The sequence below is a fragment of the Homo sapiens genome, chromosome 12 (assembly GCF_000001405.40).
Source record: "Homo sapiens chromosome 12, GRCh38.p14 Primary Assembly".
Classification (NCBI taxonomy): Eukaryota; Metazoa; Chordata; class Mammalia; order Primates; family Hominidae; genus Homo; species Homo sapiens.
This window is the reverse complement of record NC_000012.12, coordinates 22,487,064-22,501,373: the sequence shown is the minus strand read 5'-3', so window position 1 is coordinate 22,501,373 and position 14,310 is coordinate 22,487,064. Positions and strand designations below refer to the sequence as shown.

The window sequence follows — 14,310 nt, the reverse complement described above, 5'->3', positions numbered from 1 at the left end:
GGAAATGGAAATGGCAGTAATTAAATCTTATAGACATAGTAAGGACGTTGTCCCACGTAAGCAGAATTACGGTTTGGCAAAGAAAAACATGGTTGAGGAAGCAGTATATCTTGCCATCATTTAAAATAATGTCACGTTGGAAGTGTGTGAAGAAAAAAGGTAGATATAAGTTATAGAATGTTAAAAGAACATAAATGATGACACCTTGTAGTATGCTTTTGATTAATTAGAATCTTTCTGGTAAGACTTAGTATATCTTCAGAAACAACTGATTTTCATACTTGTTTAGGAAAAATAACTTGATAATTCTGAAGAAAAATTTGATATAGGTAAATATATGCAAATCATTTATGTATTCTTATCTGTAAATTGAGAATATTTAGCCATTGCTCTCATATGTAGAAAATCAAGAACTAACCATGTTAGGAAAAGAATTGTTGATACCATTTTTATTAGGGCTAGAATTGCTCATTTACACTGTATTTCCTGGCTGCTTTGTACCATGTATTATATGAAGCATTATCATTTTAATAACAGACTTCCAAGAAAAAGAAAAATATATACCACCATATTAAATATACTTATTAATTATTAGACATTCTTATTTCAGAAACATTAAAATATGGAAAGTTATAGGAAAATGTTATTATACAGTAATGTATAAAATATGACAGATCATGCAAGCTTATATCAGAATTTATTTTGTGCCACGCAATTTGCTAGGTCTAGGGTGGAAAGATTGCCAGTCCCCCTGCCTTCATGAAGCTCATATTCTTGGAGGATAGACAGACATTAAATAATTTACTGTGTGGTATGGTGTGATACAAGATAAAGAGTTAAAGAAGAAGGCTTGATTAACTCTGTATGAGAGAAACTTATAGAAGTGGTAATTCTTGAGCTCAGATTTGAAGGATAGATGGGAGAATCACATAGATTTGTATTTTGGTGTTTTTGGACCCATGTTTATGCATACTTTGAGTGTGGTTCTCAAACTTCTAGCATTTACAAAACAATGTCCTAGCCAGTACTCATTTGATGATGTTTACATAGTTACTTCATGCTTACTACGTTGCTTGCCACAGAGTACAAAATATCTTGGTTAGTTTAGCTTTTTTTTTTTTTCTGTCTCCTTTTCTCCTGCTTTGCTGCCTTAGTTTGTGTTAACTACAGCGTTAGAATTTTTTGTTTTGGAGATGGAATCTTGCTCTGTCACCCAGGCTGGAGTTCAGTGGCGTGATCTCAGCTCACTGCAACCTCCGCCTCCCAGGTTCAAGTGATTTTCATGCCTCAGCCTCCCAAGTAGCTGGGATTACAGGCACGTGCCACCATGCCTGGCTAATTATTTTTTTGTAGAGATGGGGTTTCACCATGTTGGCCAGGCTGATCTCGAACTTCTGACCTCAAGGGATCCATCTGCCTCAGCCTCCCAAAGTGTGGGGATTACGGGCGTGAGCCACTGCACCCAGACCTAGAAATGTTTTTATAGAGCAGGAAGAAGGGAACTCAATATTAGAATTTATTTTTAAAATGTTACCTTTACTTATCATGCTGCTTATGTTTCTGGCTTGGTAACAGACTTTGAGAAATGCCAGGCAGGTGAGTGTTGCTGCTAGGAAGCAGATTGCAGCATTTACAAATCTTATGTGTGACATTCTAGGATTGGAAGTGCATAAGAATTAGGGTAGCCCATGGGCACATTTGCATTAGATCATTGACTATAGGGTGGAGAATGGGCTTAAAGGCAATAAGACTAGAGACAGGGAGACCAGTTAGCAGACTGTGTGGTAACCTTGGCTACATAGGTAACCTAGGTTTTGGTGGTGATAGGAGAGCTACACTGATCAAGAACTTATTACATGCCACGTACTCTTTTAAGTGCTTTATAATAGTAGACCATTTAATCCTCAAAACAGATCTCTGAGGTCGACTCTAATCCTGTTTTGTAGGTGAGCAAAGTGAAACAGTAGTTTTCCAAAGGTGAATAGTTAGAAAGTGGCTAAGCCACAATTTGTACCTGAGTACTCTGGCTTCAGAACCTGTACTCTTAACTATAAATTAATGAGATATTTTGAGTATAATAACAGCAGGACCTAGTAACTACTGAAATGTGGCAAATGAAGCATGCTCTTGTCTGCTTTCAAGACAAGAGAAAGAAAGGGGAATTATCCCACATACCTACAGTTCTAAAATTCTACATAGCAATTGAGTTCTACCCTTTGGAAACTCAAGTTTATTTGAGTGTTGAGATGGGAAAATATTTAAAGAGCAAGTTTTAATAGTCCTAACTCATTTTTCAAATGAGTATGATCTTTTATTTTTTTCCCTTGAGTTACCACTAGAAGTATTTCTGAGTAGCTCACATACATAATTTTTAAATCAGTGATAATCTTGATAGTTGCGGATAATTTACTATTTTTTCCTCTGTAGAGATTGCATGTCAGCTTAGATTTTTTTTCAGGAAGTGGCAAGAAGAAGTAAAGAAGTTATATAGCGTGGTATCAAAATGTAATTGTTTATTAGTGGGAGATAGCTTCTGGACGTAGACAAAATTTGTGAGTTGATATTTTAAGTCCTGAGTTAGTAAAACAAGTGTTTAACACCAGATAGCCTTTTGTTGGTTTTTGAGAAAATTTTTAAAAGGGTTTTTAAACAAATTTTATTTTAGACAGATTATAGATCTTAGGACATATTATACTTAAGTTTTTCTCAATCATAAACTTTTACTAGTGATAAGCAAGCTTTGGATTAATAGTTCAAAATTAGAAAATATTAGTCTTTTTTGTTTGCCATCAGAATTATAGTTGTTTAGAAAATTCATTTAGTTTAGGAGCAAAAGTGAGTAGTTATGTCCTATAAAAATAAGTATAATTACTTTACAAAATATTTAATGGTAACAAAATGTGGGTCAGCTGATTATATAGGGATATATTTATAGAATGTACAGATCAGTCTGCTCATCTGAATGAACTTTTTTGTTTTTTTTAGTTTAAGTTTCAATTCAGTCACGTTTTTATTCAGTGGATGTTTGTGGAGTGCCTACCATGTGTTGCACACTGTGTTGGGTACTGGAAACATAATTGTTAAGCCAGGCAGACGTCCTGTACACACCCAGTCTAGGGTAATTCTTACACTATTTTGGTGTGTGCATATGTGTGTATTAGTTAAATGGAGATAGGTGGTAGGCTCTCTTGGAACTTTAATTTTACTGATAATCTCAGCAATTATCATTTTCCCTGAGAGATACTTATGAGCAGATGTGCAAACTATACCTAAAGTACTTATACAGCTTTTGGTTTTCAGTATTTTAATAAGGTTTTCAGGAAGTAGATAAATAAGAGTTCAAGATGCAAGATGGCATAAATACAGCATGCGTGATATGTGAGCTTTTCTATATTACCAGTAATTTTAGAGTAATGAAAATCCAGTTACATTGTGTGTGTGTGTGTGTGTGTGTGTGTGTGTGTGTATGTGTGTGCATGCGTGTATGTAGTGAAATTTCACAATTATGGAGTAGATTGCACATTTGACTTTCTAAATTTACAGATAGTAAAGACTCCAGTTTGGTCAAACATGGATTATATCTTAGTTTCATCCTAACATCACAAATGACTAGGTCTTGACGTTTGCTCTGTATTTGCACATGACTTCCTCTATAATGAGAATCTTCTTCCTAGTCTACTGATCCCCACCCAGTTTGAGATTATATACTCCTTTGAACCTGAACTCTCTAATTTCTTTTTCATTAGGGGAAATTTATCTTCTTCAAGAGGTTAGCAGTTGGAATGTTACTTTCAGGTATTTGGGAATATAGCTTTTTATACTGTCCGTTAACATGATAGATTATCATTGTATTAACCTTTATTTGATCCAACCTAACATTTTATCTCCTTTTGTTGATTTATAAATTAGATTGAATAACTGTCCATTTTAAAAATAATTTTTATTTTTAAACAATATTTGTTTGTATTTATGGGGTACATGTTTTATTTTGTTACATGCATAGAATAATGATCAAATCAGGGTATTTGGAGTATCCATCACCTTGAGTATTTATGATTTCTAAGTGTTGGGAACATTTCAAGTTCTCTCGGGTAGCTGTTTTGACATATACAGTACAGTGTTGGTAACTATAGTCACTCTGCTTTAAAACATTAGAATAATTTCTTTTTTCTTCTAACCGTATTAAAAGAATCTGCAAGGCAGAGTTATTCTCTCCCAGAGCTATATAAAAATGAACTGAACTTAACATTTCAGGTAGTTGGTATTTCTTAATTGCCAAGTGTATGATAGCCTAAAATCTCAAAGAGGTTGAGTTTAATAAGAGCATATTATGTTGAGTTGTTCACATTGTTATTTTCTGATATATAAACTGCCGTTTTAGAATTTTACCAGTTTCACCTGCACTTCAGAAACAAAATGTTAAAAAGATGGCAAGATATCGAGCTGTGGCCATGCTCTAGGAATGTAACGTAGTAAAAATTAATGAATTCTGATGTCAACCTAAGTGTGCTGACATTACCCCTAAAAGAGACATCAGTGAGGATTGATTTAGTGCTCAGTTCATGCCTGCAATTAAAAGGATATATTAAAAGATTTGCGATATTATCTACAAAGAGTTTTGACCCACAGAAGAAAAACATAAAATAGTATAAAATATAACTTGTATATTAAACTTATATATAAAATATATAATTTGTATATAAAAATATATTAATTTGTATATAATTAAATTTTAAATTTTCCTAAAATAATAACTTTTATAATTGTAAATAATTCTGTAGATTATCAGAAGAAATGTGTTTAAGGTGAAGAGGTTTGTTTCTTAACATCTTTGAAATGTTTATTTAATGTTTATTAAATGACCTCACATCTCAGCTGTATATCCTTCAGATAACTAAATTGTATCATTTCATGTGTCACATACATAGTTGCCACAAAATTTTAAGCTAGACTCTGTTTGCATTTATGTTAGTATAGTATCCTCAATTTTGTACTTTTTAGGATGAATAAAATAATTCCAATTCATTAGTGTGTTTCTTATAGGAAAACACAATACATTCCTATAAGACTGTAGTTATCAGTTTTTAAACCTTAAACATTCTATTATAGGGATTAAATACTGTGATATCTCTGAATTTTTATTGGTAATAGGATAGGCTGAATCATAATTACTGCTTGAAGATTCTCTAGGTCATGTCTGGCATGAGTATAAAATAAGCTTTGGAGATAAATTTAACTTTTCTTTACTGTTAAACAAATTAATCTTAATTTTGTTTTAATTAAATGCCCCCTAAATTTAGTAGCCAAAAATTTTTCCTTTAGTCTCTTGCTTACAGTTGTAGATAATTGTTAATATAATTACCAGTTTGTGATTAAGTGCTCCCTACTGTATGCTTGCCTTGCTTTCACCTAGAATCTAGGGCCATTACTTTCTTGTAACCATTTCAGTGAGCTGCCATAGTTTTCAGTCTGTACTGTCACCTGATCCAAGCATGCGCCAAAATATCCACTGTTTCTGGCTCCTGTATGCTGAATCTGCTTTGCAAACCCTTCGTTCTTTGAGCTTTTGCTTTAGCCAAAAACCAAATTTAAGAAGTTTTCTGGAGTGTGGACATATGCCATTTGCTTCCTTAGCTCCCATGTTATGTAACTCTTTAGCTTTGTATTAAACTTGTAAATACTTATTAAATACAATAATGGCATCCTCATGTGCAATTGTGTGGCTCATGTGTTAAAATAAAGGCTGCTTGTGAATTTGTCAGAAGAATATGAATGCTCCACTTGCGCTGCATTCAGCTTTTTTTTTTTTGTTCGTTTGTTTTTTGAATCAGCCACTTATTCTTTCATAGTGTTTGGTTTAATTATTTGATTATTTTATGTGTTATACTAAGGTAAGTTTAACGTAAATGAACTTTGTATTCTATGTGGTATCTCATAGGAATTGTTATAACATACTTTCCCATTTAGACATGTTGGCGTTTTAAAAATAAATATATGTAGAACTTAAGTAGCTTCCTCCATTTTTTATTAATTTCTAAAACACTGTTTATGGATTACTTTCTGTAAAATTCATTTTTAAAACAGTAAAGCCACCATGTATTACTTGTGGTACAGATGAAGAAGGCAAACCCAATGTGAGAAAAATCTTATAAAAACATAGTACATAATTATTTGCTTTAGAAAATAATATTTTAAACTTCTAGAATGGTTTAAAAAGTAAACAGTAGGTTTTATTAGTGAGTTTAAGAAAAGTTAGAATTTTATTTCATGCAATTTTTTGGGAAAATAGGTATTTTCTAAACTGAAATACATTTCTATGGTTGTGACAATTATTTTCTCAGAATCATAGTCATTTAATAGATTAGAGCAACCACTTGAATAATAGTTCATCTTATGATAGAAAAATTCTCTTTTAGGAAAGGATGATGTTAAATGGATGTTCAGATTGGTCCGTAAGTGTGTATGTCTTAGAAAAAAGAGAGTATGGATTTGAAAGTGTATTTTTGCTGTTACTATATACATTTCATTTGGGAATATGAAGAAATTCTTTAACACAAGTAGTATTTGTGTAAAATAGGTTCACTTAATTGTTCACACATTTCTTAATTTATAACATTGATTGCTAATACCATATTGTAGTCTTTTCTATTTCTCTTCCTTATTTTATCTTCTACTTTGATGTCTTTCTCAGTTTCCTGAATTCTGCATTTCTTTCTTCTGAAAGAAAGTTTTAAGGTAGCTTTGTCTTGGAACCAAAACTTTAATTCAAGAACTGGCTGGCATCATTTGTAGTTCTGGCTTTTATCTCCTTATTTCTCCCTTTTGCTGATCCTCCTCCCTGTGGAGGAGACAAAAATTTCATCATAGGAATGTGAGCTATAACACGCCTCTTAACCTTTCTTTACTTTGCTGTCTTCACTATTTTACTAGTGAGTATAATTCTACTTATTCTACTAATTTTGAAAAACATATTTTGAAAATTGGATATATACTGCAATTCAAAAATAGAAACTTTGGATTTTTTGGTTTTTAGATTTAATAGTGGCTTTTATATGGAAAAATTACAATGAGAGCTTAGCATTCTATCTAGAGTTGATTTTTTTTTCTATCTCAAGTTATTCCCAAATGAGAATTGGCCACAAAAAGAAATAAATTATGATATGCTAATTATAGACTTTCTGTTTTTAACACATTGTACATAAAATGTTACTATAATTTGCAGCTGCTGTCACCAGTAGTTTGCAGCTAAATGCAAGTGATTAGGAAATATGTATGACAGATGCTTCATTTATAGTGCTCCATTACAAGCAATATTGGACTTCTCTGGTAATAAAATAGAATTCTGTGACTCTAAATCATTTTTTAAAATTACAGACCAATACATGGAGTGTTATATCTGAAATTTTTCCTTATATACATTACCAAATTATTTGTGTTAATATTTTAAGTGTGCTTGCTTTCTTTCTTTTTTTTTTTAAATTAGTCTCTAATTTCTTGTATTTTGCCTAAAGACCCACATCTCTGTAGAAGGATGGCTTACAGATGGCTTTCTCTCTTTTAACATTGACAAATCTTTGCCTTGGAAAGAACCCACAATATAGTGAGTTATAAAAATAGGTACCAAGAAATGAAATCAGAATTAAAGTTAAATTTATGGATATAACACATAAGGTGTTCACTCAGTGAGGTGAGATGTAGAATATCCTCTTAGTCTAATTCTAAAATTCTAATCATAGCTAAGATTAGAATTTGGAAACTCTGGGTCTACATTTAAAATTATATCTAATCATATATTCCTATAGATATCTGTTAAAGTAATAAAGCAAATACAGATAGGTGGTTTGTTTTCCAGCAATTGAGTTTAAAAGGTTAAATCTTATGCCTTTTGAGAAGTAGCATTTTAAAGATGGGAAGTTTAAAAATCCATTATAGAATAAAACTTCTTTACTTCCCATAGTATGTTTATTTTAAACATTTCATGTTCATATATATAATGTGCTATTGAGTAATAAACTGATTTAAAATTTATTTTTCAGATGAACCAGAAACTCGAGATGCATGGTGGGCAGAAATCAGACAAGAAATAAAATCACATGCTAAAGCATTAGGCTGTCATGCTGTAGTGGGCTACAGTGAATCAACTAGCATCTGGTAAATGATAATAACAACTTGATTTTCCAGACACTAATTTAGACTGCCATCTGAAAGGGGAAAAGCTTCATGCAAATAAAAGAAAAGAGAATAGCGAAGTGTTCAGGAGCATGGGCCTTGGAGTACATTAGATTAAGGTTTATATGCCGTCTTTGCCAGTTAGTGACTGTGTAACTTTGAGAAAGTTATTTAACTCTTCTGAGCCTCAATTTGTACATTAAAATGGAGATAATACCACAGATCAATTAATCATTTACATCAGTGATTAAATGAGAATATAATACTGGCACACAGCAAATATTAACTCTAGGCTTCCTTTAGTATGTAACTGTATCAACTTCTTCCACTGGAACCTTTGGAACCCTTGATCTACTGTAAACGAATTGCAATGTGTCTTTAAAGTTTGTCCATAAACTCATTCTGCCTCCTTTTACCTACTGTAATGTAACGTTTCTTGCTAACAAATCATTCTTCCTAATACTGACAAATTAGGAAGGGGCTTTCATACACTTGGTTCTCAATTCCTTTTTCTCCTTCCCTTCATTTGAACAATCTCCTCCTTTAAAGTACATGCCACGCTACTGTTCCATTATCTACTTCCAAAGCATTCGTCTGCCTTTCTTAGTTACTTCGCTGCTCTCTCCTCCAGTTACATATGATTATGTTCATCCTAGCAGCTGGCATTATAGTTTCTTATTCTCAAGTCGTCTGACCCCACTTAACTTTCAACCATATTTTGGACCTCAGTATCACTTGAAACTGTTCCGCCTTAAAATTTTGAAACTATAAAATTTTACTCTCAGATCACAACTTAACGTTTTTCTACCAATATCATTTGCTCTTTTATATCTAGTTTGTTTTGACCCTTACCTTAACCAGTTGTTTTCTCAGCTCCTTACTTAGTTTCTGGCTTTTTTTGTTCTTTTGCCATCCTTGAACCCTACTTTCAGCCCTTCAGAAGTTTACAGTTGATATCATCTAGAAACTGTTTAACCTTCTGTTATCTTATTTTTCTACCATCTATTCTTAGGTAATTCTTACTGTTAGATCCTCTGCTCTTGTGGTGATCCTTATTGTTAGGGAAAAAGAATTAAACTGTAGTAAATGTGGTCATTACAGAGCCATATTATTTAATCTTCTGTGGGCTTTTCTTTTCCTTTGCAGATCATGTGTTATACTCCTAGACTGTTTATTCCCATAGTAGCGGTTCTACTCTTGTTAACTACTAACTTTGTCAAGCTTATCTTGCCTTACTCCCTAGTTGTCTTGCCACATTGATGGTTTTAATGTCATAAACTTTGAGGCCTTAGAAAAATGTTTTTTGTTGTTGTCGTTTTTTTTTTTGTTTTTTGAGATAGAGTTTCACTCTTTCACTCAGGCTGGAGTGCAATGGTGTGATTTTGGCTCACTGCAACCTCCACCTCCCGGGTTCAAGTGATTCTCCCACCTTAGCCTCCTTAGTAGCTGGGATTACAGGTGCCTGCCTTCCTGTCTGGCTAATTTTCATATTTTTAGTAGAGATGGGGTTTCGCCATGTTGGTCAGGCTGATCTCGAACTCCTGACCTCGTGATCTGTCCACCTCGGCCTCCCAAAGTGCTGGGATTACAGGCGTAAGCCACCACACCCGGCCAGAGATATGGTTTTAGAAGGCATAGTTCTTGGTATCACATTTACATTCTACTGGATAATTATGATGTAAAATAAATTTTAAGATTGAGATATAGGATGCTTTGGGATCCTAGAGGGCTGAAAGCTCAAAGTAGAATTGGAAGAAAATGTCAATGAAGTAACTGATGCTTGAGTTGGATTTTGGGGGATGAATATGAATTATATAAATAAAAAGAAGAGGCATAAGGAGAGGTTTCAAAGCTTACAAGATGCATTCAACACTTAAAAGAGTAGCAAAAAAAAGAAGGCCACAGGATGTAGACTCAGGATGGCTGATGATAGGTCACAGATGGAGGAGTCTGCAAATGAGTTCAGTTAATTTACCTAGAAGTTTGAGTTCATCTGACAGATGTCATCTGACAGAGGTCCTTTCTAGACCTCAAAAACATCTGTGTATTTAAATTTTAACTAATCTTTTCTGTTCCAGCCCATGCTACTTTCTGTTACTGGATTAAACTCTCTGAAATGCACTTCTGCTCTTATAACTTCTTGATTCGAAGACATCAGTGGTTTCATGTTATTCCTTCTGACATCCTTAATTCCTACCTACACTTTAAGCCTGGTCTTCCTTTATTTTATTTACAGTTCAAGTGACTGTTCCTCCCTTGTTCTCTTAGGCTTCTGTTTTATTTTATTTCTGGGTTTTATTTATACCTGGTTTTCAGCAGTTCATCCCTAGGTTGCTACTTTTCTCATTTGTTTAGGTGATCTCATTCAATAATTATGTTGATTGTTTAATTTTTTAGCTTTCAAATTGGGTGACATATAATAATTTAAAAATTATTTTGAATATCAGTTTTCTGTTATATGATGATGTAGTTTAAGCTTCATTTAGTATATTTTGTATATTGTTTCAGAAACCTTTATAATGATTTAAATTTAGATTAAGCTATATAAATCACCTATATAGAGATATTTACATAGTTGTGCTTTTAGAATAATTTTAATAAAACTTCATATACATTTAAAGAGTATTTTAATATAGTTTCATTGATTAATGCTAGATTCAGCAATACAATTTATTACTGCTTATATTTTGAAACATTTCATTCTTTCAGCCTTGCCATATTTTAAATGAAGTTATTGTCTTTAATATTAATACTTTTATCTTTTTTCAGTTTTTAATTTATGAAGAATTCTTTCCCTCCATTCAAATAAAGTTACTTCTGTTTTCTAGGCTAGGTTTAGGAGGTAAACCTCGTAAATATTATTTAATATTGAGTAGAGTCTAACTTGAACTTAAATTGTCACTGTTATAATTATTTTGATATTTAGCATTTCCCAAAGTTATACGGTCTGAAAAATGTTAACTTGTTTGTGTTTTTTCCTTTATAGTGAAGAGGTCTGCATTTTATCTGCATCTGGCACAGCGGCTGTACTGAATCCTAGATTTCTGCAGGATGGCACCGTGGAAGGCTGTTTGGAACAGAGGTTGTCATGGCAGCCTGGCTTATTTTCTATAAGGGCAGAGAAGGGAGAGGTCGACTTTTTTTCTGAGAGTTGGGATAATTCTTCTCCGTAGGGTGGCTTACAGGGGTACAGTGTAGAAATCAGGACCAAGCACTTCACTAATTTTTAACTAACCCGTAGTAACAGAGGAGTATTGGATTCTGCACTATATGGCACACATTATTGTTTCTAGTGTCTTGATAAGTGACATGTATGATTACCAGTTGAAGAATTTCAGGTGTCCATTTTTTTTTGCTTTGTCATGATATAGAAATAATCTTTGGATCTTTCTCTTCCTTTCATTTCCCTGTGTCTCACCTCCAAAAACAGAAAGAGGTTATGAAACAATTTTTATAAAAAACAATTCTTAATTTACAAAATAGTAAAAGTACTGCATTTTATCAAGATTATCTGTAGATATAATATATATGGTCCTTCCGTGTCCATAGGGAATTGGTTCCAGGACCCCTTGCAGATACCAAAACCTGCAGATGCTCAAGTCCCTTATATAAAATGGTATAGTATTTGCATGTAACCTATGCACATTCTCCCCTATACTTTAAATAATCTCTAGATTATTTATAATACCTGATATAATACCTGTTCATCATTTCATTTTCATGGATTCAGTGTAATGCTGAGCATGTGGCAAATTCAAGTTTTGCTTTTTGGAATTTTGTGGGATTTTTTATTGTTTTCCTATTTTCAACCTGTGATTGGTTGAATCCATACATGCCAAACCCATGGATACGGAAGGGTGACTGTATATTTAAATATATATATATATACACATATATAAACTATTAGTTTGGTACCAGAGTCTACCTGGATAATACAGATTTTAATTACCCCTTATGCCACAGTGTGCCTATTTACTTCCCCCCTCCCCAGTATTAATATATTAAGTATATATTAAGAAAGGAAGCAAAGGCCAAGTGCGGTGGCTCACGCCTGTAATCCTAGCACTTTGTGAGGCTGAGGTGGGTGGATCACTTGAGGTCAGGAGTTTGAGACCAGCCTGGCCAACATGGTGAAACCCCGTCTCCACTAAAAATACAAAAATTAGCCTGGTGTGATGGTGGGCGCCTCTAATCCCAGCTACTCAGGAGGCTAAGGCAGAAGAATTGATTGCTTGAGCCTGGGAGGTGGAGGTTGCAGTGAGCCAAGATGGCACCACTGTTCTCTAACCTGGGCAACAGAGTGAGACTCTATTTAAAAAAAAAAAAAAAGCAAAAAAATTCTGTATCTTGTCAAGTTTAGTATAAACTTGCACGCATTTATAACTAAGATATTCTAGTTCTGGTATTCACTAGAGGAACTTGGTCAGTTTCTTTTGTCAGTATTAAAATGGATATTGACTATTATGAATTCCAGAGCCTTAAAGGTCATTGTAAATAGGAAAGTGAAGGTGGGGCATTTTGAAGCACAGTAAATAATTAGAATATTCTATTGAGGAAACTCTCTTTGTCAGTGAGTTGTACCAGTGATACAATATAGTTCTTACACGTCTGTAGATTTCATTCTTAAGTTGATAGGAAGCCTAATTTAACAAATGACCTTTTTCATGTAGCTTGGTTTTTTTCTGTATTGTGGCTTGGACGAATACAATAAATTCTCTTATATAGTAGTTCAATACAATAGGTGCCACCCCTAGTTGTAAAAAAAAAAAGAAAAAAACAAGGAAAATGCCTTTTCTTTCTGCTATAAAAATTATTACTGCTTATTAGAAAAAATTTGGAGAGTTCCTATATCAAATGATGCTAGATTGCCATCCTTTTCAAATTCTTATATGCTTTGTAAGATTTCCTACGTCTTGCCTTGAAGTCAGCTGTCATTTTTCATGCTAATTCACTATGCTGCCTATAGAAATTCTTATCCTCATTTGTTTGCTATTTCTTTGTTTTTTTTTAATTATACTTTAAGTTTTAGGGTACATGTGCACAACGTGCAGGTTTGTTACATATGTATACCTGTGCCATGTTGATGTGCTGCACCCATTAACTCGTCATTTAACATTAGGTTTATCTCCTAATGCTATCCCTCCCCCCTCCCCCTACCCCACAACAGGCCCTGATGTGTGATGTTCCCCTTCCTGTGTCCATGTGTTCTCATTCCCACCTATGAGTGAGAACGTGCAGTGTTTGGTTTTTTGTCCTTGTGATAGTTTGCTGAGAATGATGGTTTCCAGCTTCATCCATGTCCCTACAAAGGACATGAACTCATCCTTTTTTATGGCTGCATAGTATTCCATGGTGTCTAGGTGCCACATTTTCTTAATCCATTCTATCATTGTTGGACATTTGGGTTGGTTCCAAGTGTTTGCTATTGTGAATAGTGCCGCAATAAACATACGTGTGCATGTGTCTTTATAGCAGCATGATTTATAATCCTTTGGGTATATACCCAGTAATGGGATGGCTGGGTCAAATGGTATTTCTAGTTCTAGATCCCTGAGGAATTGCCACACTGACTTCCACAATGGTTGAACTAGTTTACATTCCCACCAACAGTGTAAAAGTGTTCCTATTTCTCCACATCCTCTCCAGCACCTGTTGTTTCCTGACTTTTTAATGATCACCATTCTAACTGGTGTGGTATGGTATCTCATCGTGGTTTTGATTTGCATTTCTCTGATGGCCAGTGATGATGAGCATTTTTTCATGTGTCTTTTGGCTGCATAAATGTCTTCTTTTGAGAAATGTCTGTTCATATCCTTCACCTACTTTTTGATGGAGTTGTTTTTTTCTTGTAAATTTGTTTGAGTTCATTGTAGATTCTGGATATTAGCCCTTTGTCAGATGGATAGATTGCAAAAATTTTCTCCCATTCTGTAGGTTGCCTGTTCACTCTGATGGTAGTTTCTTTTGCTGTGCAGAAGCTCTTTAGTTGAATTAGATCCCATTTGTCAATTTTGGCTTTTGTTGCCATTGCTTTTGGTGTTTTAGACATGAAGTCCTTGTCCATGCCTATGTCCTGAATGGTATTGCCTAGGTTTTCTTCTAGGGTTTTTATGGTTTTAGGTCTAACATTTAAGTCTTTAA

At 33.7% G+C, this 14,310-nt stretch overlaps 1 protein-coding gene across 35 annotated transcripts in view; it reads left to right on the top strand.

Moving 5' to 3' along the window:
• Nucleotides 1-14,310, top strand: part of C2CD5 (C2 calcium dependent domain containing 5) — a 95,960-nt gene that overhangs the window by 43,169 nt on the left and 38,481 nt on the right. For 25 of the 35 annotated variants that reach the window (NR_169598.1, NM_001385330.1, NM_001385329.1 and 22 more), the window contains 2 exons: nt 8,037-8,151; nt 11,156-11,251. Coding sequence is in view for 34 of the 35 variants with exons in the window: in NM_001385330.1 (NP_001372259.1) it covers nt 8,037-8,151; nt 11,156-11,251 (211 nt within the window). In the remaining variant the exon portion in view is untranslated. Of the gene's footprint in view, nt 1-3,746; nt 3,796-8,036; nt 8,152-11,155; nt 11,252-11,718; nt 11,786-14,310 lie in introns of all 35 variants that reach the window. The other 10 variants (XM_017020270.2, XM_017020269.2, XM_017020266.2 and 7 more) reach the window with 2 other exon arrangements.